Below are 26,318 nucleotides of genomic sequence, written 5' to 3'. Positions count from 1 at the left end.
ACCTCGTGATCCGCCCGCGTCGGCCTCCCAAAGTGCTGGGATTATAGGCGTGAGCCACCGCTCCCGGCCGTAAAGATTTTTAAATAATAAAAACAGGGGTCTAGGGTGGGGGGATGTGGGAGGGATAACATTAGGAGATATACCTAATGTAAATGACGAGTTAATGGGTACAGCACACCAACATGGCGCATGTATACATATGTAACAAACCTGCACATTGTGCGCATGTACCCTAGAACTTAAAGTTTAATAAATAAAAATTAAAAAAAAAAAACAACAAAACAGGGGTATTCTTGTGTTGACCAAGTTGGTCTTTAACTCTTTACTTTAAGGGATCCTCCAGTCTTGGCCTCCCAAAGTGCTAGGATTACAGGCGTGAACCACCGCACCCTGCCTGTGTTCAGGTCACAATCTCTTCTAGCTTGGATAAAGGGAAAGAAATAAAGGGGGAGAGGGCATGGTTTCATCAATGGAGATTCTCTGCAGATGCAAATTCCCCCCCTCCAAAGACAGCTTTGCCAGTCCACTTTTTTTTGCGGCCGAGCCACAGCCATTTCAAAATCTGTCAAATAAATATATTTTGGCGTAAAATATTTTAATTTCCTTCACCTCCACTGGACTCTGAGTCTGGAATTTCCTGTGCAAGACAAAGGAGCAGGGACAGCCCATTGAGTGAGGAAGACAACGGTACCCCCTCTAGCAATTCGGAGCAAATTTGGCTGAAATGCAAATACCCAAAGAGCAAGACGCAGGGAGGGAGCTCGCTTAGATAATCTGTGGTTGGAACAGGTCATTTCGGTTCTGCCGGGCCTTGTTACCCAGGGCTTCCGCTGTCACTCAGGACCGATGGGACGGGGACTGGAGCCTCATCCAATCAGGGGCGCTGGGGCGGGGTCCTGCCAACTGTCCATCCGGGGAAGGGGAGGCCGCATTCCCGCTTTCCTGACTCCCAGGCGTCTTGCACCAAAGGGAGGTCGGGATCTCGGTTTTCCGGCCCCGAGAGGGACCAGGTGCCTCCGCCATAGCTTCTGTCGCTCCATCGCCCGCACTGTGACTGGACTGTTAGAGGGATCCGTGGAGAGGAGGCCAGGACACCTGGAAGCCGGGAAATGGTGAGTGTGCGGGGCCGGGGGTCCCGAGACGGGGGAGGGGCCGGGAGGAACCGGCTCGAACCGGCTCTAGCAGGACCCAGGCCTTCCTGCAGCGACTTCGGGTCTGCAGAGCGGAGTCCCCCTGGCGTAGCTCGGCCCTCGGTCCCTTCGGCCGCAGGGTGGGGTTGGGCCGGCAGCCGGGACCCCAGGCGTCCTGTCCCGTCTCTGCGCTGCGACTGCGACCCCGGCCCTGGCCCCGGCCCCGGAGCCCTCTCTGGGGAGCTCCGCGCCCGTAGTCCCGCGTCTCCCCAGATTGTGCGGAGACCACGGGAGGGTCATGGAGGCAATCCTGCCTCGGGTGTGTGGTTCGTGTGGGAGGAGCGGTGGGCTGCGGGGTCCCCAGTCCCCCCTTTTTTCCTGAAAAACTAAATTGAAGGCCAGGCGCAGTGGGTCACGCCTGGCAGGTTGAGGCGGGGGGATTGCTTCAGCCCAGAAATTCGAGACCAGCCTAGGCAACATACCGAGACCCTAGTTTCTATTAAAAATAAATTTTTAAAAAATGAGCCGGGCGTGGTGCCGCCCACCTGTAATCCCAGCTACTGGGGGGCTGAGGTGGGAGGATCGCTTGAGGGAGGAGATTGGGACTGCAGTGAGCCGAGATCGCGCCACTGCACTCCAGCCTGGGCGACTGAGCGAGACCCTGTCTCAAACAAAACAAAACAAAAACAACAGCAACAAACTAAACTGAGTCCTCTTAAAAATTAAAGAGTTTTGCTTCTCAGAATAGGAGTTTGAAAAAAATGAATGAGAAATGTTTCCTGAATGAGAAACACCCAGTCATGGCTTGCAGTTTGATAACGGAAAGAGCAAAACTCTGCAAAATAACTTGAACTATGTTCTACGCCGAATATGAGAGAACGTGACCAAGGGAAACAACCGCATGTAGCCTCGAGTAAGTGGTCCCCAGGAGGTTCGATGGCAGTTTGGTTTTATTCATTTCAGCGAGACAGGAATTGCAGGGAAAAGATCAATCAAGGCATGGAAGGCTGACAGGGCAGGACACGTAGAAGCGGGGCTTAGAAGGCACAGGTGGTTGAGGGATTCTGTAGTTGGCAGTTGGCTGAGAGTGTGAAGTTGTGTCTAAAATTTGAAAGGGGTAGGAAGGAATGTTTAAGTGAAGGGAGTCTGTTACCTGCCACGTGATTCCATCCCCACCAAAAAACAGATATGTTTCACTAGATTTTATGAATTCTAAGGCGTGACTTTACCCTTGCCTTGCATGGCCTTAGGTCTTGTTTGCAATTTAGTATTTATTGGTACAAAGGGTTTCTTTGCAGGTTTTTTTTTTTTTTTGAGATGGAGCCTCACTCTCGCCCAGGCTGGAGTGCAGTGGCGCAATCTCGGCTTACGGCAACCTCCGCCTCCTAGGTTCAAGCAATTCTCCTGCCTCAGCCTCCCAAGTAGCTGGAATTACAGGTGCACGCCACCATACCCGGCTAATTTCTGTATTTTTAGTAGAGATGGGGTTTCACCATGTTGGCCAAGCTGGTCTCAAACTCCTGACCTCAAATAATCCGCCTGCCTCCGCCTCCCTCCGCCTCCCAAAGTGCTAGGATTACAGGACTGAGCCACTGTGCCCGGCCTCTTTGCAGGTCTTATGTCTATTTTAATATGAATGTGGGTCAGTTGCTGTGTCTAAACTCCAGAAGGGAGTATGGAGTGTCTGATCTCCCTTACTAATGTAACTGGGAACTTTCAGGTTTTTGGGGGGCCTCCCCTTGGTAAAGAGCCACTCAGTTGACTTGATTGGGGTGGGATGGGGAGCTTAGGTTTTTATTTTTAGTTTACAGGTTGAAGGATAGGCTTTTATATGGTGCATTAGAATAAAAATCAAAAAATACTTTATTGGTTACAGTGATGTAGTCGCCTTGTTTGGATTTTTCTACCTTAAATGATTGAAATGATCAGATTCCTATTATAAGGAGATTATTTAAGTGAAAATCTGAGAATTGCCATTCAAGAAAATACAGACTCTAGGGAAATGGGCTTAGAACTCCGGAGCTAAAAGTTAAACTCTTGACCTAGTGCAGTGTCCCACACCTGTAATCCCAGCTTTGTGAGGCTGAGGCAGGATGATTGCTTGAGACCAGGAGTTGGAGACCAGCCTTGGTAATACAAGACCCATGTCTAGAAAAGAAAAATAGAAAAATTAGACAGGTGTGGTTGCACCCACCTGTAGTTCCTGATACAAGGGACACTGAGGCAGGAGGATCACTGGACCCCAGGAGTTTGATGCTGCAGTGAGCCATTATCAAATTTGACATTCCAGCTTAAGACACTGTGATGGCCATGAAGTCTTTGTGTGAGAAAGGTAAGAGGAAAGTTAATCTATAATGAAGATCAAGAGAAAAGAGGCCCTTCCTGGCTCTGTTCAGGCATTTTCAATATTTTACAAAAGAATATAGGTAAGGGCTGGGCGGGGTGGCTCACGCCTATAATCCCAGCACTTTGGGAGGCTGAGGCGGGTGGATCACAAGGTCAGGAGATTGAGACCATCCTGGCTAACATGGTAAAACCCCGTCTCTACTAAAAATACAAAAAATTAGCCGGACATGGCGGCAGGTGCCTGTAGTCCCAGCTACTCGGGAGGCTGAGGCAGGAGAATGGCGTGAACCCGGGAGGGAGAGCTTGCAGTGAGCTGAGATCACCCCACTGCACTCCAGCCTGGGGGACAGAGCAAGACTCCGTCTCAAAAAAAAAAAAAAAAAAAAGAAATATAAAACTAACATAAGTCTTTTGCCTTTTTGTATTTCTGCCTCAGTTTGTACACCGGTATGGGCAGTGACAGTCTATATGCCTGCCAGAATCACTGCATGTATTTTTTTTTTTTTTTGACACAGAGACTCCCTCTGTCACCCAGGCTGGAGTGCACTGGCACAATCTCAGCTCACTGCGACCTCCCCCTCCCAGGTTCAAGCGATTCTCCTGCCTCAGCCTCCCAAGTAGCTGGAATTACAGACCTGCGCCACCATACCCGGCAATTTTTGTATTTTTAGTAGAGACAGGGTTTTGTTATGTTGGCCAGGCTAGTCTTGAACTCCTGACCTCAGGTGATCCACCCGCCTTGGCTTCCCAAAATGCCGGATTACAGGCATGAACTACTGCACCCAGCCGTGCATGTGTCTTTACTATAAATCTGGAGGGCTTTTCTTTTTTTTTTTTTTTTTGAGATGGAGTCTCACTCTGTCGCCCAGGCTAGAGTGCAGTGGCGCATTCTAGGCTCACTGCAACTTCTCCCCCGAAGTTCAAGTGATTTTTCTGCCTCAGCCTTCCAAGTAGCTGGGATTACAGGCTCCTGCCACCGCACCTGGCTAATTTTTGTATTTTTAGTAGAGACGGGTTTCATCATCTTGGCCAGGTTGGTCTTGAACTCCTGACCTCGTGATCCACCCACCTCGGCCTCCCAAAGTGCTAGGATTACAGGCGTGAGCCACCGCGTCCCGCCTAGGCTTTTGTTTTCTGACCTGGTTGGCCTAGTAGCATCTCCTTTCTCAAGCTGAGTAGAAGGCATGAGAGCAGACATCCTTGTCTGTGTCTCATCTTTGGGAGAAAGCAGTTAGTCCTTCACCATCACGAATGAGGGTAGTTTTGCATTTTTTATATATACCTTATAGTAAGTTAAGGAAGTTACTTTGTATTATTAGTTTATTGAGTTGTTGTTGTTTTTTTTTTTAAGATGGAGTCTCGCTCCGTCATCCAGGCTGGGATGTGCAATGGCATGATCTCGGCCCACTGCAACCTCTGCCTCCTGGGTTCAAGCGATTCTCCTACCTCAGCCTCCTGGGTAGCTGGGATTACAGGCGCATGCTACCACGCCCAGCTAATTTTTTGTATTTTTAGTAGAGACGAGGTTTTACCGTGCTGGCCAGGCTTGTCTCGAGCTCTTGACCTTGTGATCCTCCCGCCTTGGCATCCCAAAGTGGTGGGATTACAGGTGTGAGCCACTGCACCCGGCCGAGTGTTTTTATCATGAAGAAATGTTGAGGTTTGTCATATGCTTTTTCTGCATCTATTATGATGTTCTTGTGTTGTTTGCTGTTGATCCTATACTATTATGGTGTATTGCATGAATGGATTTTCAGAGGTGAGAGCAGCATTGCTTTCCTGAATTGAATGCCACTTCATCACGGGTATGATATTGTTATAGGATTCTCTTTTCCAATATATTGGTGAGGTGTTTTCTTTTGAAATTTAAAGGAGATATTCATGTACAGTATTTTAATAGAATCTAGCATTATCTAGTACAGGATATAGTGTGTGTGTATATATATACACATATACATGTACATATGTTGCATTTATATACAGTATATGGTTTAGTTATGGTAGGTAATTGGTAAATATTACATGTAACGTGTATATGATATATAAGTGCCACATATAAACGGTATTAGCCTATATGGCATTATACTGTTATAGTGTAAATTTATATACTTTTATCCTCCATAGTATAGTGAGTTTCATTTCCTTATTAGCCTGCAGAATACACCAGTCTCATTCTCCTCTGGGAACAAAGGAGAACCTCACCCTCTTGTTGCTACAGAATGTGCCACCCAAAAATATTCATGATCTTAGGTTTAGGAAGAAGAGGCTATAATATGACAAGAGAAACACTAGGAACAGAGAAAAAGTATGTAATTTTGACTACATTAAAATTTAAGCTTTTCTGTTTTGAAAGACACAATGAAGAAATACAGGAGTATGGTCAAGGTTAGTGGTTCACATCTGGAATCCCAGAACTTGGAAGGCTGAGGTAAGGGGATCTCTTGAGCCTAGGAGTTTAAGACCAACCTGGGAAGCATAGTGAGACCATGTCTCTACAAAAAATAAAAAAAACTGGCCAGGCGCGGTGGCTCACATCTATAATCCCAGCACTTTGGGCGGCCGAGGCGGGCGGATCACGAGGTCAGGAGACCGAGACCATCTTGGCTAACACGGTGAAACCCCGTCTCTACTAAAAATACAAAAAATTAGCCGGGCGTGGTGGCGGGGCCTGTAGTCCCAGCTACTCGGGAGGCTGAGGCAGGAGAAAGGCGTTAACCCAGGAGGCAGAGCTTGCAGTGAGCCGAGATCGTGCCACTGCACTCCAGCCTGGGCGACAGAGCGAGACTCCGTCTCAAAAAAAAAAAAAAAAAAAAATTACCCAGGTGTGGTGGCATGCTCCAGTGAGCCCAGGTACTCAGAAGGCTGTGGTGGGAGGATTGCTTGACCCCAGAGGTTGAGTCTGCAGTGAGCTGTGATTGCACTACTGCACTCCAGCCTGGATGACAGAGTGAGACTCTGTCTCAGACAAAAGAAAAAAAAAAAAAAAAGAAATACAAGAGTATAGCTGATCTTAGCAGCTGAGCAGATTCAAGCCTGGTTACTGCATGGTTTATAGAATGCATGAGAATACTGCTTGCTATAGGCTTAAAAAAAAAAAGAAGAAATAAATTGCAAAGAGTATTCACCAAATGGAAGAAAAACTTGAAAATTCTACACCTGGTCCTCACATATATCCATCTCAGTTGGAACCTCAGTCTCCTTTATGACACAAGGTAAGGGCTGAATTGGCAAACAGGACTCCCAGGCATTGTGTCCCATCACTGCAGGAGGCGAGCTCCACCGTAGAACACTGTCTGGGTAATGGTGTATCCACAGTCCCCCATCTCACCCAGTTTATGGAGTGACAACAAGGAGTGGTCATGAGGAGAGAAGTCTGACCCAGAGTTCTGGATATGTGAGTGGGAGATACTCTCAGGACACCCTCCTTCCTTCCCACAGGGAGAGAGCATATTATCCCCTATGCATTCCAGACTTGTGAAGCAGGGTTTCAAGTCTAAGTCCCTGTCCCTTGTAAAAAAAGATTGTACTGAAATCGTGTTAAAAATGTCAAAGAAGGCTTTATTCAGGACAGTTGTGATGTGGGTCATGAGAACTGTAATATGGGAGAGAGATTGACCTCAACCTTGCATGCAGCAACAACAGTATTGAACCTATAGTTCAAGGGTAAATTGAGGGAGAGGATGGAACTTGGTGAGGTATCAAGGGTTACAGAAGAGAAAGCTGATGAGTTATGAATAGGGGTAACAGAACTTCATTGGGTATCACGTTTGGAGGGGCCAGGGTGGGGTTTCTCTGAACTCCCTTAGAAGGATCTTTGCTATAACTGGGTTTTGTAGGACAAGGTCAAAGCCTTGTCAAAGAGGGAGTCCTTGAGACCCCCACAGCTACCTTTTCATGGGGACAACAACAAATCCTTACATTTCTGATTCCCTTCCCACATTCCAAAGCACCCATCTCCCCTCTCTAATCGACATCTTCATCAGTGTGTCCACCATGATGTATTTGAAAGAGCTGTAGTATTTTGTTTTTCATTTTTCCACAGAGCCATGAATGGCTGCATTGGAAACTTTTCTATTTTGTTTATGAATACTTTTCATGAGAGGAAAGCACTCAATAACCACCGGAAACTTTGTTGTGTAAAATACTTAGGTCGGGCCGGGCGTGGTGGCTCACACCTGTAATCCCAGCACTTTGGGAGGTCACAGTGAGCAAATCACCTGATGTCAGCAGTTCAAGACTAGCCTGACCAACATGGAGAAACCCTGTCTCTACTGAAAATACAAAATTAGCCCGCAGTGTTGGTGCATGCCTGTAATCCCATCTACTCGGGAGGCTGAGGCAGGAGAATTGCTTGAAGCTGGGAGGCAGAGGTTGCAGTGAGCCAAGAGCGCGCCATTGCACTCCAGCCTGGGCAACAAGAGCGAAACTCCGTCTGAAAAAAAAAAAAATACTTCTGCCGAATGATTCCTGATGTTGAACCCTTTTTCACGTGCTTACTTGTCACTTGTATGTATCTTTGAGAAACGTCACTGAAATACTTTGCCCACCTTTTAATCAATTAGGTTTTTACTTGGTATTTTATTAATTTTAATAATTATAAAGTAAAAAACTTAAATTTTACCAGCTTATGCAATTTTAACTGTACAGTTGATTTAGTTAGACAACTCTACATAACTTTAATCATACTGTATTTTTCTTTTGGTGACTACCTTGGCTGTTAGCATAGTATCCTAAATTTTCATGCTTGTTGTAACAACGGACAGGTTGTTATTTTAAAAGATTAAATAATATTCCATTGCATATATATATATATACCTATCACATTTTTGTTATTCATTCAGCAATCAATGAATGGACAGGTGGATTGATGCAGCTCTTGGCTACTGATTTTTTTTTTTTTTTTTTTTTGAGACTGAGTCTTGCTCTGTCGCCAGGCTGGAGTGCAGTGGTGAGATCTCAGCTCACTGCAACCTCCGACTCCCTTGTTCAAGTGATTCTCCTGCCTCAGCCTCCTGAGTAGCTGGGATTACAGGCATACGCCACCGCCACCACACCAGCTAATTTTTGTATTTTTAGAAGAGACGGGGTTTCACTATGTTGGCCAGAATGGTCTTGATCTCCTGACCTCGTGATCCACCTGCCTTGGCCTCCCAAAGTTGGCTATTGTTAACAGTGGTTTTCAAATGTGTCTTCAAGATCTGGATTTCAATTTTTTTTTAATTGAAAATAAGTAGACACAAAAGTAGATTGCTGAAAGATATGTTAATTTTGGCCAGGCGCAGTGGCTCATGCCTGTAATCCCAACACTTTGGGAGGCCGAGACAGGTGGATCACAAGGTCAGGAGTTCAAAACCAGCCTGGCCAAGACGGTGAAACCCTGTCTCTACTAAAAAAAATACAAAAATTAGCCAGGCATGGTGGCGGGCGCCTGTAATCCCAGCTACTTGGGAGGCTGAGGCAGAAAATTGCTTGAACCTGGGAGGCTGAGGTTGCAGTGAGCCAAGATTGTGCCACTGCACTCCAGCCTGTGTGACAGAGTGAGACTCTATCTCAAAAAAAAAAAAAAAATGGTAGTTATATTATTTTTTTCAGGCACCGTCATACTATTCCATAGGGGCTGAGCCATTTACCATCCTTTGGACAGAGCACATGGGGTTCATTTTCTCTCTTGATGGTGTTCTCTTACACCATTTCACACAAAAGTTTTTACATTTGATAAATATTTGCCTTTTTGTTGAGACTGGACACCCTGGAGTTTTTGCCTCTCCAATCTTGTTGCCATTCAACCTCCAGCAATTCATCAGTTATAATTCAGGCTTTTCTACCCAAGCACAGTTTCCAAGAAAGGTTTCTGCTCTTGATTTTTTGTTTTAGTTAGTTATGACTCTTATCAGTCAGATTGGTAGGGCCTCAGCCAGGCTTGGTGGCTCATGCCTGTAATCCCAGCACTTTGGGAGGCCAAGGCTGGTGGATCACTTGTGGTCAGGAGTTGGAGACCAGTCTGGCCAACATGGTAAAACCCCATCTCTACTAAAAATACAAAAATTAGTTGTGCGTGGTGGCAGGCGCCTATAATCTCAGCTACTTGGGAGGCTGAAGCATGAGAATCATTTGAACCTGGGAGGCGGAGGTTGCAGTGAGCCAAGATCATGCCACTGCACTCCCACTTGGGTGACAGAATGAGATTCTGTCTCAAAAAATAATAATAATTAAAAAAAAAGAATTTCTTTATGGAAGAGTGAGTGTTGACAGAGTAAAAAGTCTGATGACCAGATCATGGAATAAATGTTTGGAGTCCATAGCACCATGGAAACTTTGTAGGAATAGAGTATAGGAACCCAGTGCTGTCAGTCTCACCCATGTTTCTTTACACATGTGGGATGTTTCAGGATTCAGTGGTCTTTGAGGATGTAGATGTGAACTTCACCCAGGAGGAGTGGGCTTTGCTGGATCCTTCCCAGAAGAATCTCTACAGAGATGTGATGCAGGAAACCTTCAGGAACCTGGCTTCTGTAGGTAAGGGTAACAATATTACTTTCCTCAGTGAATTAGAGAACAAGTGTTTCTAGCTTGTCAGTAGTGTTGAGTGATTTGGAGTGTGGACAGGGAATAGTGAGGACAGGGAATAGGAATGTGAATAAATGCTGCAAGGCTGCAGTGTACCATGAACTTAGAATCTAGTACTTTTTTCATAATTTTGCTAATTCAGGACTATTTTTCTGGTTCTGTATTTTAGGAAAAAAATGGAAAGATCAGAAAATTGAAGATGAGTACAAAAATCCCAGGAGAAACCTAAGGTAATTCGCATTCACAAGAGAAAGTGATGTCTCTCTAGACAATCATAGAATGGAAGAAAATGTTAAAAAGAAGCAAACAAGAAATAAGCCAAGTTCCACTGTATTTATTCTTACAAAATTTTCTCTAGGGCCGGCTGTGGTGGCTCACGCCTGTAATCCCAGCACTTTGGGAGGCTGAGGCAGGCGGATCACGAGGTCAGGAGATCGAAACCATCCTGGCTAACATGGTGAAACCCTGTCTCTACTAAAAATCCAAAAAAATTAGCCGGGCGTGATGGCGGGCACCTGTAGTCCCAGCTACTTGGGAGGCTGAGGCAGGAGAATGGCATGAACCCGGGAGGCAGAGATTGCAGTGAGCCGAGATCATGCCACTGCACTCCATCCTGGGCGACTGAGCGAGACTCCGTCTCAAAAAAAAAAAAAATCTCTAAAAACATATATTTAAGTGTGACATAGGCTGAACATCCTGGCTTAAGCCTATAATCCAGCCCTTTGGGAGGTTCAGGTCAGAGATTGCTTGAGCTGAAGAGTTTGAGGCTACACTCGGCCATGATAGCACCATTACACTCTAGCCTGGGTTAAAGGGCAAGACCCTGACTCAGAAGCAATAAAATTGACAAAGACAGTTAGTACTTGTAAAATAGTTTACCTGAAAATAGTGTTGGCCGGGCGCCCAGGTGTATGCCTGTAATCCTAATGCTTTAAGAGGCTGAGGTGGGCAGATTGCTTGAGTCTAGGAGTTTGAGACCAGCCAGGGAAATGTGACAAAACCCCATCTCTAGCAAATATACAAAAATTAGCCAGGCACGATGGTATGCTTGTAGCCTCAGGTAATCAGGAGGCTGAAGTGGCAGGACGGCTTCAGATCGGGAGATGGAGGTTGCAGTGAGCTGAGATCTCACCACCGCACTCCAGCCTGGATGACAGAGTGAGACCCTATCTCAAAAAATGTTTAAAAAGTACTAAGAAGCCCTATATCAATATTATCTTTCTTGATAACAGGTATAGCTGGGCCATCTTGTAGAGCATGTGTGGTCTGTTCATGTTCAGACAGGGCAGAAAGCCTACACATTGCTGTACAGTGTTAGAAATACAAGTGCAATGACTTGTTAATGAATATCAAATCAGTGATAAAGGAACCCATTATGATATACTTCTCATTGTTCACAGAGGTCTTATGGGAGAGAGACTCTTAGAAAGTAAGAAAGATCATCAGCATGGAGAAATTTTGACCCAGGTTCCAGATGACATGCTGAAGAAGAAAACTCCCCGAGTAAAATCATGTGGAGAAGTCAGCGTGGGTCATGCATCCCTTAATAGGCACCACAGAGCTGACACTGGACACAAGCCATATGAGTATCAGGAATATGGACAGAAGCCATATAAATGTACATACTGTAAGAAAGCCTTCAGTGATCTCCCCTACTTTCGAACACATGAATGGGCTCACACTGGGGGGAAACCTTATGATTGTGAGGAATGTGGAAAAAGCTTTATTTCCCGTTCAAGCATTCGAAGACACAGGATAATGCACAGTGGAGATGGACCCTACAAATGTAACTTTTGTGGGAAAGCCTTGATGTGTCTCAGTTTGTATCTTATCCACAAACGAACTCACACTGGAGAGAAACCATATGAATGTAAACAGTGTGGTAAAGCCTTTAGTCATTCTGGTAGCCTTCGAATACATGAAAGAACTCACACTGGAGAGAAGCCTTATGAATGCAGTGAGTGTGGGAAAGCATTCCATAGTTCCACATGCCTCCATGCACATAAAATAACTCACACTGGGGAGAAGCCGTATGAATGTAAACAGTGTGGGAAAGCCTTTGTTTCTTTCAATTCCGTTCGATATCATGAAAGAACTCACACTGGAGAGAAGCCCTATGAATGTAAGCAATGTGGGAAAGCCTTCAGATCTGCCTCGCACCTTCGAACACATGGAAGGACTCACACTGGAGAGAAACCCTATGAATGTAAACAATGTGGTAAAGCCTTTGGATGTGCCTCGAGCGTTAAAATCCATGAAAGGACTCACACTGGAGAAAAACCCTGTAGCTCCAACACTTCGAAAGGCCAAGGCGAGAAGATTGCTTAATTCACATAAGATTCCTAGAAGCCACCGAATCCAATCATGGTAAAAATGTGTTTCCCTCAAATCATGGGAACCATCGCAAAATTATTCTGAAGCTTCTGCAGTCACTGTCATTTGACAGCATTCAGAAATAAATGCCAGTAGCCCAGGAGCAAAAATTTTTGGGAGTAGTTTAGCTGGGGCCTCACTCAGATACCTAGGACACAGAGTTGGAAATAACTCTTAAGAGAGACACACCTCCAGTAAGACCTTAAGACAGTTCTGTCATAAAAAAAATACGAGGTTTGGCCGGGTGCAGTGGCTCATGCCTATAATCCCAGCACTTTGGGAGGCCGAGGCAGGCGGACCACGAGGTCAGTAGTTCGAGACCAGCCTGGTCAATATGGTGAAACCCCATCTCTACTAAAAAATACAAAAATTAGCCAGGTGTGGTGGCGCCTGTAGTCCCAGCTACTCAGGAGGCTGAGGCAGGAGAATTGCTTGAATACAGGAGGTGGAGGTTGCAGTGAGCTAAGATTGCGCCACTGCACTCCAGCCTGGGTGACAGAGTGAGACTCCGTCTCAAAATAATAATAATAATAATAAGGTTAGCCCAGCAAAGTGGCAGGTATATATATACAGGAAGGTCAGAAAAATCTTTTCCCTCCTATTGAAAGCCCAATACCTAAGTGGCAAGCCCTCATTTTAAGAAACTCACTAAAGGGATAACGGAAGTGCCATTGTCAGACTCACTGCCTCAGAAAGCTTTATCAAAACAAAAGGCTAAAGTTCCTATTCAAAAATATCCTATAATAAATGGCTGGCTATCGGGTACACTACGTATTTTATGCCATTCGTTCTCACGAGTTTTCTTTTTTTTTTTTTTTGAGACAGAGTCGGGCTCTGTCTCCCAGGCTGGAGTGCAGTTGCACATTCTCAGCCCACTGCAACCTCTGCCTCCTGGGTTCAAGCGATTCTTCTGCCTCAGTCTCCCGAGTAGCTGGCTTTACAGGCATGAGCCACCATGCCCAGCCTCTAAACTCTTTTTTTTTTTTTTTTTTTTTTTTTTTTTTTTTTTTGAGACAGAGTCTCACTCTGTTGCCCAGGCTGGAGTGTGTTGGTGTGAGCTCGGCTCAGTGCAACTTCCACCTCCTGGCTTCCCGGGTAGCTGGGATTACGGGCACCCACCACCACGCTAGGCTAATTTTTTATATTTTTAGTAGAGACAGGATTTCACCATGTTGGTCAGACTGGTCTTAAACTCCTGACCTCAAGTGACCCACACCAGTGTCTCCCAAAGTGCTGGGATTACAGGTGTGAGCCACTGCACCCGGCCTTCTAATCTTTTTCCAGCCTTCAAATTTTTTTTTTTTTTTTTTTTGATACAGAGTCTTGCTCCAGGTTGGAGTGCAGTGGTGTGCTGTCGGCTCACTGCAGCCTCCAACTCCCAGGTTCAAGCGATTCTCCTTTCTCAGCCTCCTGAGTAGCTGGGACTATAGGCGTGTGCCCCCACACCCAGCTAATTTTTGTATTTTTAGTAGAGACAGGGTTTCACCATGTTGACCAGGCTGGTCTCGAACTTCTGACCTCAGGTGATCCACCTGCCTTGGCCTCCCAAAGTGCTGGGATTACAGGCGTTAGCCACTGCGCCCGGCCATTTTTGTATTTTTAGTAGAGACGGGTTTCTCCATGTTGGCCAAGCTGGTCTTGAACTCCTGACCTCAAGTGACCCACCTGCCTCAGCCTCCCAAAATGCTGGGCTTACAGGTGTGAGCTACTGCGCCAGGCCTAATATCTTTTTTTTTTTTTGAGACAGAGTCTTGTTCTGTGGCCAGGCTGGAGTGCAGTGGTGCAATCTTGGCTCACTGCAACCTCCGCCTCCCAGGTTCAAGAGATTCTCCTGCCTCAGCCTCCTGAGTAGCTGGGACTACAGGCATGCGCCACCACGCCCAGCTAATTTTTGTATTTTTAGTAGAGATGGGGTTTCACCATGTTGGCCAGGATGGTCTCAATCTCTTGACCTCATGATCTGCCACCTTGGGCTCCCAAAGTGCTGGGATTATAGGCACCACGCCTGGCCCTAATCTCTTCTCAAAGTACTTTTTTCTTTAATGAATGTCTTAAATAAAAACTTTTTTCTAACCACAAACTTTTTTTTAAATTATTTTATTATGTAATTTTTTTTTAGAGAGTTGGTCTTGCTGTTTGGACCCGGCTGGAGTGCAGTGATATTCACAAGTGTGATCTTAGTGCATGAGAGCTTCATATTCCTGGGCTCACAATCCTTCTACCTCAGCCTGCCAAGTAGCTGTCACTACAGGTACCAGCTGCTGTGCCTGGCTTCCACCTTTTTTTTTTTTTTTTCTTTAATCAGTTCCTTTTAAAGACCAAAGAAAACCTGTCCTCTTGTGTGGCCTGAGTTGATCTATGAACATTATTCACTATGACCCAGAAAATCCCACGAAGTCGTGCATGTTAGAAGGATGAAACCCTCATGTTCACTGTAAACTGTGAAGGTGCTCAGGCCATCACAGGTATGCCTATATGAAAAGCCACCAAGTATCTGAAATATTTTCTTTTACAGAAATTATGTGTACCATTTCAGTCTTAGAAAGTGGAGTTGGTCGCTGTACGCAAGACAGACATTGGGGCTGGACTCACCATCAGTGGCCCCGAAAAGGTACTGAAATTTGCTTACAAGTGCAGAGTTATGCTGAACTTAAGGGTATAGATGTAGATTCCCTGGTTATTGAGCACATCCAGGGAAAAGGCACCCATAATGTACCACCTGACTTACAGAACTCATGGGCAGATGAACCCATCCACAAACTCCCCTGCCACATCCAGATGATGCTTAGTGAAAAGAAACACCTTGTTCCAAAAGCAGAAAAGGAGGATGCACGGAAGAAAAAGATACCCCAGAAGAAACATAAACTTAAGAGACAAACAAATTCAGCCAAAAGAAAATGCAAATAAAAGTTCAAAACAAAACAAAACAAAAAAACCTCTAAAATTCATAAAACACAAAATGACAAACTCTATTAAATATGCCCCTATGATATCTCTTAGATAAAAGTTGGCCGTAATAGAGAAAATGAAGATAGGTGTTGGTGACTGGCAGATTCTGGGTCTACGATGAATCAGAGAAGGATGGTTTTCACTTTGTTTTACATTTTTTTAATGCTTGATGTTGACTTGGTAGAAAGATGATAATAAAGAGATTCTTCTGTCTATGTGTTTCTTTTAGATTACTCATGTGGACTGAAGAAAAAAAATTAAATTTGTTAAAGAAAGTGAGTTTGATTTAGGATTGTGACTGAGGACAATAGCCTGGAAGCAGTTCTGACAGATGGCTGCTATGTAATATTTTGGTTCACAGTTTATAAGAGACATGTGGGCCCTGTGCTCTATCTTGTTTTTTCTTCAAAGCATAATTCTGGAGAGCTGGAGAGTCCCAGAGTCAGGAATGTTATAAAGTCAGGCTGGAAACCAGAAATAAGTAACATGACTAAACATTTGTGTGTTTTTTTGTTTTGTTTTGAGACAGAGTCTCGCTCTATTGCCCAGGCTGTAGTGCAGTGGTGCAATCTCGGCTCTCTGCAACCTCAGCCTCTTTGATACAAACGATTCTTCTGCCTCAGTCTCCCGAGTAGCTGGGATTACAGGTGGGCTCTACCACACCCGGCTAATTTTTGTATTTTTAGTAGAGACGGGATTTCACCATGTTGGTCACGCTGGTCTCCAACTCCTGATCTCAGGTGATCCAGCCACCTCGCCCTCCCAAAGTGCTGGGATTACAGGCTTGAGCCACAGCGCCCAGCCACTACTGCCTCACTTTCATGCAGTTAAATAATCTTGGACACTTCCTCCTCGACTTTATACATACACACTGGAGGAGAGCTTTGCTCGTGTGTTATTCTCGCAGTGGGATTGAGGATGTTTGTCTCATGGAAACTGATGAATGATGTGAGAAGCAGGTGAATAACCTGCAGGGGGCAGCAGAGACCGACGCCAGGGACGGGACGCTGAGGCTAGTATGGATCCTGCCAAGGAGTGAAGTGGAGTTCTGGGTGCTTCCTGGGCAGCCGCCCTCCCCTGCAGGTGGCTTGCAGCTGCTCAGAGCAGATCCAGAAAGAGTGTGGGTTCTGACATGCTGCAGCGCCCTGGAAAGCAGGAGACCCACGTGCAGGTGCACTTCAGGAGTTCTGTCCTTTCTGCGGCTGTACATCTGGAATCTGGGGCGGTTTTCGGGAGCAGTGTTTTGGGTTTGACATGCATAGAGTCCCTGGGGTCAGACTGTAATTTGCATATCTGAAGAAAATCCGTAAAGATCAAGTTCAGGGAAATAACTGTTTGGGACCTCTCCTGGAGAAGGGGCTTATGCAGTTGACAGTTTATTTAGGTCAGAAGCTTAAAATCACCAAGTGAGAGTTTTCTGCCGATGAAGATGAAGGTCTGGAAGGAGGGAGAGTTTCCACACTGTGAGGTGGGGTGAGATGTGTGAAAGCCTTGGCCATGTCTCATCCCTAATTCCGGGCCCCTGAAGGACAACTGCCTCTCCTTCTTGGTGCAGTCGTGCCTGGCCTGATCTGGGCTCCCCTTCCTGCTCTGAGGTCAGCACATCGCTCCATTGGACACTCAGTCTGGAATTCCCTGCACACACTTACAACCCTGTGCAGGACGAAGAAGCACTGACAGCCCATTGAATGAGGAAGAAGATAGTGCCCTGTGTAAAAATCAGGAGCAAATTTGGCTGAAAAGAAAATATCCAATGACCAGGGCTCAGGGAAGGAGTTGTCCCTTAGAGAGAAGCTGTGGCTAGAACCGATCAGTCCGGCTTTGCAGGGCTCGTTACCCAGGGCTTCTGCCGTCACTCAGTTCTGAGGGGGCGGGGCCTTGTACCTTGTCCAATCAGAAGCGCCGGGGCGGAGCCCGGCCAACGGTCCGTCCGGAAGGAGGAGGCCCATTCCAGCTTCTACTTTTGTTGCTATGCAGGTTGTTGTCGGGATACCAGATTTCCTACTCCGAGAGGCCCCGGGTCCCTCTGCCACAACTTCTGTCGCTCTGCCGCCTGCACCGTGACCCGCACTATTCACGGGAGCCCTAGAGAGGACACCGGGACACCCAGAAGCCGGGAAATGGTGAGTGTATGGGGCCGGAGTCCCCAGACGGGGGAGGGGCTGGGTGGAACCGGCCGGAAGCGGCTGTGGTGGGATCTGGGCCTCCTCGCCGCGCCTCCTGGATCTGGGACCCGAATCCCTCTGTCTCAGCTCGTCCCTGCGTCCCCTCGGCCGCAGGGTGCGGCTGGGCCGGCAGCCGGGACCCCGGGCGTCCTCCTGTTCTGTTCCTGCGCGGGCGACTGTGGGCCCCGACCCTGGAGCCCTCTCTGGGCAGCTCCGCGCCTGCAGCCCCGCGTCTCTTCAGATTTTGCGGGGACCACGGGAGGGTCATGGGGGAATCCTGCGGATTTTTTTTTCTGTTAAAGAGTTTGGGCCGGGCGCGGTGGACCATGCTTGTAATCCCAGCACTTTGGGAGGCCGAGGCTTGCGGATCACGAAGTCAGGAGATCGAGACCATCCAGGCTAACACAGTGAAACCCCGTCTCTACTAAAAATACAAAAAATTAGCCGGGCATGGTGGCATGCGCCTGTAGTCCCCGCTACTCAGGAGGCTGAAGCAGGAGAATCGCATGACCCCAGGAGACGAAGGTTGCAGTGAGCCGAGATCACGCCACTGCACTCCAACCTAGGGGACAGAGCGAGATTCCATCTCAAAAAAAAAAAAAAATTTAAAGAGTTTGAGCAAACAGCGATTCATGAGTGAGAAACGCCCAGTCATGATTTGTGGTTTTGGTACCAGAAAGTTTTAAGAAGAATTGCATTTTGTTAACGGTGGAGGGGGTCCAGGTTCTTGGCGTCTTGAACAAAGAATTGGACAAAACGCACAAAGCAAGGAAGGAATGAAGGGATTTAACACTCCACAGTGTGCAAGCGGGGCTGAGCACAGGGGCTCAAAGGCCCCGTTACAGAATTTTTGGGAGTTTAAATACCCCCTGGAGGATTCCATTGGTTACTTGGGGTATACTCTATGTAAAAGGAGAGGATGAAGTAAGGTTATAAAATCATTTACTTGGCTTACGCCCTATGGAGTAGGTATTTCCTTTCATAGCTGAAGTTTGAATAGGCCTTATGTTCCCTGCGTCCAGACCCTATTTTCCTGCCTCAATTTGAGTTTGATTTTGGTGTCCTTAGGTAGTTTCTTATAGCACTAAACACACTTCAGTCTAATTGCTGCTGCTTTAAATTTTTTCACACTGTCTATAGGGACTGGCTTCCTCCTGCATTTTCCTAATGTATGGGTCTCAAATCCTCCACCCTGCTACCCCGCCCTAACTCTTCAGCAGTTTGCAGTAACATCTTAAATTTTCAATTACTTTTCCGCATCTCCAAACATTAACTCCCCTTCTCCAACTCACAGTATTATCAACTTTCTTTTTTTTTTGAGACGGAGTTTCGCTCTTGTTGCCCAGGCTGGAATGCAATGGCATGATCTTGGCTCATTGCAACCTCTGCCTCCCGGGTTCAAGTGATTCTCCTGCCTCAGCCTCCTGTATCAACTTTCTTTATTGTAGAGTATATTTCTTCATCCTTTCTTTCACATAGATGCAGTATTTTAGTGGTTTATCATCTTTTCACAAGGTCATGGATAACTTTTTTTAAAATATTTGTGTTCTGTTTCTGAACATTTCACATAGAATAGAGAATAACCACTTGATACTCCAGTGAAAAACCTCTGTTCCTCTCCTCTTATCTTCGTAAGGCACAGACACCATCTCAGAATGTCTTTGGGTTGTTTCCTTTTTTTTTTTTTTTTTTGAGAGAAAGTCTCTCTTTGTAACCCAGGCTGAATTGAAGTGGCGTGGTCTTGGCTCACTGCAACCTCCGCCTCCCAGGTTCAGGTGATTCTCCTGCCCTCAGTCTCCCGAGTAGCTGGGTTTACAGGTATGCGCCACCATACCCCATGTATTTTAAGTAGAGATGGGGTTTCACCATGTTGGTCAGGCTGGTCTCGAACTCCTGAGCTCAAATGATCTGCCTGCCTCAGCCTCCCAAAGTGCTGGAATTTTACAGGCGTGAGCCACCGTGCCTGGCCTGTTTCCTTTTTGAAAACTTTACAGGGTGATGTGTCTTCAGGAGTCCCAATCTATCTTTTCCTGGTCCTGGGTTTCAGAACCGCCTGGGGCTGAACCAAAATGCCCACAGCTCCCATCTCTCCTGGCCTACTGAATATCAGCCCCTGTGTCAGTCCTCCCAGAGGATAGCCTGAGGCAGGGTGTGGGATCTCCCAAAGGAGCAACTGAATTTCCCAAATGGGAGGAGACTCCTGGTACACTCTTCATCTAGATAGCCAACCCCTTGGGATGCTCAGTTTTTCTCCCCCAGTCCCAGCTTCCATTATTTGGAGACACATAGCTGGTCAGCCAGTTGGATGTTGCTATTAAGGGAAAGGTGTAGGTGAAGTGAGCCACAGCAGAGTCATCTCAACAAAGCCATAAAGCCATGACATAACAGTGCATTATCACATCCCAGACAGATGAGGGCAGCACACCTTGCAGGGCAACACAGAGTGGGGGGAACATCCAGGATGCACATTCAACCAGCAGGTGGGGAGAAAGACAGACAGGGACTTTTGGGCCAGAGTTTTTCTTGGGGTCCAGGGCAATGCCCAAGGAGGTTTCTCTTAGGGAGTTGTTTCTGATAGATTTGGAGCAAGCAGGTGCTAGTTCTGTGAAGTCAGGCTGTGATTAACAGGTGGTCTGTGCCATCCACGTGGGTATAAGGGTCAGTGGGGCAAGTCAAGTTGGTCTGTCTAGCTTTTCCACAGTGAGGTCGTCACCAGGAGGCAGCTGTGTAAGTCACATATGTGGGTTGAGCACATGCAGGAACTGGGAGGAGGTGGATAACTGGAAACTGTTGAGGTCAAGTGCAGCTTTCTTCTTCTTCTTTTTTTTTTTTTTTTCTGAGACAGTCTCTTTCTGTCGCCCAGGCTGGAGTGAAGTGGCGCTCTCTCAGCTCACTGCAACCGCCGCTTCCCGAGTTCAAGCGATTCTCCTGCCTCAGCCTCCCGAGTAGCTGGGATTACAGGCACGCACACACCCGGCTAATTTTTGTGTTTTTTAGTAGAGAGGGAGTTTCACCATGTTGGCCAGACTGGTCTTGAACTCCTCACCTGAAGTGATTGGCCTGCCTTGGCCTCCCAAAGTGCTGGGATTACAGGCATGAGCCACTACACACGGCTTGAGTACGGGTTTCTTCTGTTATAAGAAAGTGAAACCCATAATGAAAATGCATGGTAAGGTAACATAAGAAGTCACGGTAACAGGCAACTCTAGAATTAATTCATATGGAGATGATGGGCTTCAAAGATTGTTTGTTCTCCTGTAGGTAACCATCTGTCCCTGTTCCTTCTGGTAAGTGAGGACCACTTGCATAATTGGCTGGTGATACCTGCTTTGTCGTGGTTTCACTATTTTCAGAATCTGCTGTTTTCCATTAGTCTATCTTTCCATCTGTTAATACCATTTTCTCTTGATTAGTATAGATTTTATTTATTTTATTTTATTTTATTTTTTCGAGACGGAGTTTCACTCTTGTTGCCCAGGCTGGAGTGCAATGGTGCAATCTCAGCTCACCGCAATCTCTGCCTCCCGGGTTCAAGTGATTCTCCTGCCTCAGCCTCCCAAGTAGCTGGGATTACAGGCATGTGCCAACATGCCCAGCTAATTGTGTATTTTTTTTTTTAATAGAGACAGGGTTTCTCCATGTTGGTCAGGCTGGTTTCGAACTCCCGACCTCAGGTGATCCGCCCACCTTGGCCTCCCAAAGTGCTGGGATTATAGGCATGAGCCACTGCGCCTGGCCTATTTATTTTATTATTATTTTTTTGAGATGGAGTATTGCTTTGTCGCCCAGGCCGGAGTGCAGTGACGCGATCTCGGCCCACTGTAACCTCTACCTCCTGGGTTCAAGTAATTCTCCTACCTCAGCCTCCCGAGTAGCTGGGACTACAGGCACCCACCACCACGCCTGGCTGATTTTTATATTTTTAGTAGGGACGGGTTTCTCCATGTTGGCCAGGCTGGTCTCAAACTCCTGACCTCAAGTGATCTGCCTGCCTCAGCCTCCCAAAGTGCTGGGATTACAGGCGTGAGCCACCGCGACTGGCCAAAGACCCTCTCTCTTAACAAAAAAAGGGTTGGTTTGTGGGAGGACGTGAGTATAGACAGAAAGTAAGAGGTGTGATGACCAAGTCATGGGATAAATGTTTGGAGTCCACAGTATCATGAGAACTTCTTAGGAATAAAGTATAGGCCTCCAGGGCTGTTAGTCTTACCTGTCCTCTTTTATATATGTGAGATGTTTCAGGATTCAGTGGCCTTTGAGGATGTGGCTGTCAGCTTCACCCAGGAGGAGTGGGCTTTGCTGGATCCTTCCCAGAAGAATCTCTACAGGGATGTGATGCAGGAAACCTTCAAGAACCTGACCTCTGTAGGTAAGAATGACAATATTACTTCCCAGTGAATTAGAGAACAAATGCTTCTAGCTCATCAATGCTGTTCATTGATTTGGAACATGGACAAAAAATACTTTGATGAATAAATCAGGCATGGCTACCATGTACCATGAATACAGAATCTAATGATTTTTAAATAAATTCATACTAATTCTGGATCTGTGTTTTCTCCGGGTCTGTGTTTTAGGAAAAACATGGAAAGTTCAGAACATTGAAGATGAGTACAAAAATCCCAGGAGAAATCTAAGGTAATTTTCTCTCGCAAGACAAGGCAATGCCTCTAGAAAATCTTAAAATGTGAGAAAATAGGCCGGGTACAGTGGCTCACGCCTGTAATCCCAGCACTTTGGGAGGTCGAGGTGGGTGAATCCCAAGGTCAGGAGTTCGAGACCAGCCCGGCCAATATGGTGAAACCCTGTCTCTACTAAAAATACAAAAAAATTAGCTGGGCGTGGTGGCACATGCCTGTAGTCCCAGCTACTTGGGAGGCTGAGGCAGGAGAATTGCTTGAATCTGGGAGGCAGAGCTTGCAGTGAGCCGAGATCGCACCACTGCACTCCAGCCTGGGTGACAGAGCGAGACTCCGTCTCAAAAAAAAAAAAAAAGTGAGAAAATGTTAAAAAGAAGCAAAAGAAATAAGCCCAGTATCAAATTTATGTATTCATAGAAAGTTTTCCTAAAAACATATGTTTAAATGTAACATACGCTGGGCTGGGCACTGTTGCGCATACCCCCAAATGCCAGTCCTTTGGGGCTTTCAGACCAAAGGATTGCTGGAGGCCAGGAGTTTGAGGCTGCAGTGAGCCATGTTGGTACCACTACACTCCAATTTGGACAACAGGGTGAGTTGAGACCCCAACTCAAAAAAAAAGACGCACATGTTTAGTATTTGTAAAATAGTTTACTTGAAAATAGGATTACAAAGCCCCATAGAAATACTAATTTTAAAAAAATATATATACCCAGACCATCTTGTAGAGCATATAGTCCATTAATATTCAAATGATTCAGACAGAGCAGAAAGCTGACACTTTGCCGGGCAGTGTTAACAATGCAAGTGCAATAGTTGTTAATGATATAAATCATGTTTTTTTCTTCTTTTTTGAGACAAGAGTCTCGCTGTGTCACCCAGGCGGGAGTGGAGTGGTGTGGTTTTAGCTCACTGCAACTGCCACTGCTTGGGTTCGAGGTATTCTCGTGCCTTAGCATCCCAAGTAGTTGGGATTACAAGCGCACGCCGTCACACCTAGCCAATTTTTGTATTTTTAGTAGAGACAGGGTTTCGCCATGTTGGCCAGGCTGATCTCAAACTCCTGGCCTCAAGCCATCTGCCCGCCTCAACCTCCCATGGTGCTGGGATTACAGGCGTGACCCACCATACCCAGCCAATATAGATCACTTTTTTATTTTTTTATTTTTTTTTGAGACAGAGTTTCGCCCTTGTCACCCAGGCTAGAGCACAATGGCGCAATCTCAGCTCACTGCAACCTCTGCCTCTGGGGTTCAGGCGATTCTCCCAACTCAGGCTCCCGAGTAGCTGGGATTACAGGCACCTGCCACCACGCCCAGCTAATTTTTGCATTTTTAGTAGAGACGGGGTTTCACCATGTTGGCCAGGATGGTCTCAAACTCCTGACCTCAGGTGATCTGCCCACCTCAGCCTCCCAAAGTGCTGGGATTACAGGAGTGAGCCACTGTGCCCGGCCCTATAAGTCACTTTTAATCAAACCGTTAATAATGTGCTTCTCATTTTTCACTGAAGTCTTATGAGAGAGAAACTCTGTGAAAGTAAAGAAAGTCATCACTGTGGAGAAAGCTTCAACCAGATTGCAGATGACATGCTGAACAGGAAAACTCTTCCTGGAATAACACCATGTGAAAGCAGTGTGTGTGGAGAAGTTGGCACGGGTCATTCATCTCTTAATACGCATATCAGAGCTGACACTGGACACAAGTCATCTGAGTATCAGGAATATGGAGAGAATCCATATAGAAATAAGGAATGTAAGAAAGCCTTCAGTTATCTTGACTCCTTTCAATCACATGATAAAGCTTGCACTAAAGAGAAACCCTATGATGGTAAAGAATGTACAGAAACCTTCATTTCCCATTCATGCATTCAAAGACACAGGGTAATGCACAGTGGAGATGGACCTTATAAATGTAAGTTTTGTGGGAAAGCCTTCTATTTTCTCAATTTATGTCTTATCCATGAACGAATTCACACTGGTGTGAAACCATATAAGTGTAAACAATGTGGTAAGGCCTTTACTCGTTCCACTACCCTTCCAGTACATGAAAGAACTCACACAGGAGTGAATGCCGATGAATGTAAAGAATGTGGGAATGCATTCAGTTTTCCTAGTGAAATTCGTAGACATAAAAGGTCTCACACTGGAGAAAAACCCTATGAGTGTAAGCAATGTGGGAAAGTCTTCATTTCTTTCAGTTCCATTCAGTATCATAAGATGACTCACACTGGAGAGAAACCCTATGAATGTAAGCAGTGTGGGAAAGCCTTTAGATGTGGCTCACACCTTCAAAAGCATGGAAGGACTCACACTGGAGAGAAACCCTATGAATGTAGGCAATGTGGTAAAGCCTTCAGATGTACCTCGGACCTTCAAAGGCATGAAAAGACACACACTGAGGATAAACCCTATGGATGTAAGCAGTGTGGGAAAGGCTTTAGATGTGCTTCACAACTTCAAATTCATGAAAGGACGCACAGTGGAGAGAAACCCCATGAATGTAAGGAATGTGGAAAAGTATTCAAGTATTTTTCTTCCTTGCGTATACATGAAAGGACGCACACTGGAGAGAAGCCCCATGAATGTAAGCAATGTGGAAAAGCATTCAGGTATTTCTCTTCCTTGCATATACATGAAAGGACACACACTGGAGATAAGCCATATGAGTGTAAGGTATGTGGCAAAGCCTTCACTTGTTCCAGTTCCATTCGATATCATGAAAGGACTCACACTGGAGAGAAACCCTATGAATGTAAGCACTGTGGTAAGGCCTTTATTTCCAATTACATTCGATATCATGAAAGGACTCACACTGGAGAGAAACCCTATCAATGCAAGCAATGTGGCAAAGCCTTTATTCGTGCCAGTTCATGTCGAGAACATGAAAGAACTCATACCATTAATAGATGAGAAATCCTTTTAGTGGAAGCAACGGGAGAAGCTTTCTGTTGTCCCACTTCCTTTGAAACACAAGAAAAGAGAGTGGTGAAAGAACCTCTGGATAACTGCTTTTTGAATTGAGAAGAGAGACTTGCGATAGGACAATAAAATCTAGAAGAACTTGGATGGTTTCGTAATACAATTCACCTATAGCCAATCTTGCATGAGATTTCAAAGGCACAGAAAAGGAAGGCATCAGTCACATATTAGAGGCCCCACACAGGGAGAGAGGTGTGTGGCTACCCGCTTCCAGCCCATTTTCCTGATTCTTTGGCTTGTTAATCGAGAATATCCCCCAAATCACTTGTCTCTGTTCCTCAGAGTTGTAGGTCTCCAGATATGTCCCCAGTGCTCCACATTAAAGATACATGCCCACTTTGCTGTTTCTTCAGAAATGTTAAAATGTTTACCAGAGAACTAATAAATGTTGTTATGGCTGGAAATACTCACTGATGCCCAACTCTTCTATAGATTGAGTTGGTTTAAGAGGTCTACTTTGTATTGCAAGCATTGTTGTTTCTACGGATTAGCGAGCCTGTTCTTGATTAAACCAACTAGATGGGAGCTTGTTCCTCTGCTGCATTGTGCAGTGATTGGTCTCACCAAGGGCTTTTATGTGAGAAGAGCCACCTTGCTCTTATCAGGAAATTTCAAGCATTTGCTGTTATTCACAACTGAATGTAATGTCTCACTTCGTTTTTAACTTTGTATGAGTATACCTGACTAAAAACACTAATGCGGTTTCTTGGCAACAAATACTTCTGTTCATGTATTTTAGAAATAAGCTTATTAACTGTTTATAACAACTGCATACTAACAATTATTATTTTTTAATGAAGAAGCTACATTACAACCTCCCATTAACATCATGTATTAGATCAAGTTGATAATGTTACCATGTTATCCGGTGGTCACTGTGAGTCAGTGTTGCCATGTGGATGTCAGGCATATTTTTCCTCATGTAGATTTTACTTTTCATGCTTATATTCTTAGTTTTTATCTGGATCATGAATTTTCATCTATTCTAAATACCAAAGGTGATCTCATGTTCTTATGAGTGACTTCTGACCAAAGACCACCAGTGGCATAAGTGTCGTCAAAGAGGGTGTAATAATATACTGTGGTAATGAATATGACCAAAAGCCATAGATGACTGTGAGATGTGTGAGATATTAAAAGATAGTCACATTTCGTGAGAAGAGAAAAA

The 26,318-nt window shown here is 45.6% G+C and overlaps 2 protein-coding genes, 1 long non-coding RNA gene and 1 pseudogene across 5 annotated transcripts, besides 5 other annotated features; all 4 read left to right on the top strand.

The window, feature by feature from the left end:
- Window positions 580-1,271: an enhancer, noted in NCBI's record as "H3K27ac hESC enhancer chr19:12267212-12267903 (GRCh37/hg19 assembly coordinates)". NCBI's record gives its function as "activates a minimal SCP1, AML or CMV promoter by ChIP-STARR-seq in naive H9 embryonic stem cells {active_cell/tissue: H9 hESC(naive)}" and the evidence as "EXISTENCE:reporter gene assay evidence [ECO:0000049][PMID:30033119]".
- Window positions 908-1,017: an enhancer, noted in NCBI's record as "active region_14044". NCBI's record gives its function as "activates an Ori minimal core promoter by ATAC-STARR-seq in GM12878 lymphoblastoid cells {active_cell/tissue: GM12878}" and the evidence as "EXISTENCE:reporter gene assay evidence [ECO:0000049][PMID:35858748]".
- Window positions 934-12,778, top strand: ZNF625 (zinc finger protein 625). 2 transcript variants are annotated; one of them, NR_037801.2, is made up of 4 exons: window positions 934-1,112; window positions 9,866-9,988; window positions 10,213-10,273; window positions 11,444-12,778. NR_037801.2 is itself a non-coding variant. In NM_145233.4 (4 exons), the coding sequence occupies exons 1-4, from the start codon at window positions 1,110-1,112 to the stop codon at window positions 12,369-12,371; spliced, it is 1,119 nt and encodes a 372-aa protein (NP_660276.2). In that variant the 5' UTR covers window positions 934-1,109; the 3' UTR covers window positions 12,372-12,778. The 2 variants fall into 2 exon arrangements, 1 of the variants encoding a protein (NP_660276.2); NM_145233.4 differs by having other exon boundaries at window positions 9,866-9,992.
- On the top strand, window positions 937-26,318 carry ZNF625-ZNF20 (ZNF625-ZNF20 readthrough (NMD candidate)). The gene is made up of 8 exons (NR_037802.1): window positions 937-1,112; window positions 9,866-9,992; window positions 10,213-10,273; window positions 14,953-15,027; window positions 17,343-17,488; window positions 21,764-21,899; window positions 22,108-22,168; window positions 23,683-26,318. It is a non-coding gene; the product is annotated as a ZNF625-ZNF20 readthrough (NMD candidate) (long non-coding RNA).
- Window positions 1,248-1,417: a silencer, noted in NCBI's record as "silent region_10145". NCBI's record gives its function as "represses an Ori minimal core promoter by ATAC-STARR-seq in GM12878 lymphoblastoid cells {active_cell/tissue: GM12878}" and the evidence as "EXISTENCE:reporter gene assay evidence [ECO:0000049][PMID:35858748]".
- RPL17P47 (ribosomal protein L17 pseudogene 47) lies at window positions 14,793-15,287 on the top strand (annotated as a pseudogene).
- ZNF20 (zinc finger protein 20) lies at window positions 17,318-26,318 on the top strand. Of its 2 annotated transcripts, none has more exons than NM_001203250.2 (4): window positions 17,318-17,488; window positions 21,773-21,899; window positions 22,108-22,168; window positions 23,683-26,318. In NM_001203250.2, the coding sequence occupies exons 1-4, from the start codon at window positions 17,486-17,488 to the stop codon at window positions 25,079-25,081; spliced, it is 1,590 nt and encodes a 529-aa protein (NP_001190179.1). In that variant the 5' UTR covers window positions 17,318-17,485; the 3' UTR covers window positions 25,082-26,318. The 2 variants fall into 2 exon arrangements, with proteins under 2 accessions (NP_001190179.1, NP_066966.2); NM_021143.4 differs by having other exon boundaries at window positions 21,764-21,899.
- Window positions 17,532-17,741: a silencer, noted in NCBI's record as "silent region_10144". NCBI's record gives its function as "represses an Ori minimal core promoter by ATAC-STARR-seq in GM12878 lymphoblastoid cells {active_cell/tissue: GM12878}" and the evidence as "EXISTENCE:reporter gene assay evidence [ECO:0000049][PMID:35858748]".
- Window positions 19,447-19,549: a silencer, noted in NCBI's record as "fragment chr19:12248934-12249036 (GRCh37/hg19 assembly coordinates)". NCBI's record gives its function as "represses an EF-1alpha promoter that drives an FKBP-Casp9 reporter gene in an ReSE screen in phorbol 12-myristate 13-acetate-treated (for megakaryocytic differentiation) K562 erythroleukemia cells {active_cell/tissue: K562(+PMA)}" and the evidence as "EXISTENCE:reporter gene assay evidence [ECO:0000049][PMID:32094911]".

This window comes from Homo sapiens, chromosome 19 (assembly GCF_000001405.40).
Source record: "Homo sapiens chromosome 19, GRCh38.p14 Primary Assembly".
NCBI classification, from domain to species: Eukaryota; Metazoa; Chordata; class Mammalia; order Primates; family Hominidae; genus Homo; species Homo sapiens.
This window is presented reverse-complemented; position numbering and strand designations above follow the sequence as displayed.

Excerpts from the sequence above, each read along its gene's own strand:
- ZNF625 (NM_145233.4), top strand. Across the intron at positions 9,993-10,212 it reads CAGGAACCTGGCTTCTGTAG|GAAAAAAATGGAAAGATCAG; the intron begins GTAAGGGTAACA and ends TCTGTATTTTAG. Across the intron at positions 10,274-11,443 it reads AATCCCAGGAGAAACCTAAG|AGGTCTTATGGGAGAGAGAC; the intron begins GTAATTCGCATT and ends CATTGTTCACAG.
- ZNF20 (NM_021143.4), top strand. Across the intron at positions 21,900-22,107 it reads CAAGAACCTGACCTCTGTAG|GAAAAACATGGAAAGTTCAG; the intron begins GTAAGAATGACA and ends TCTGTGTTTTAG. Across the intron at positions 22,169-23,682 it reads AATCCCAGGAGAAATCTAAG|TCTTATGAGAGAGAAACTCT; the intron begins GTAATTTTCTCT and ends TTTTCACTGAAG.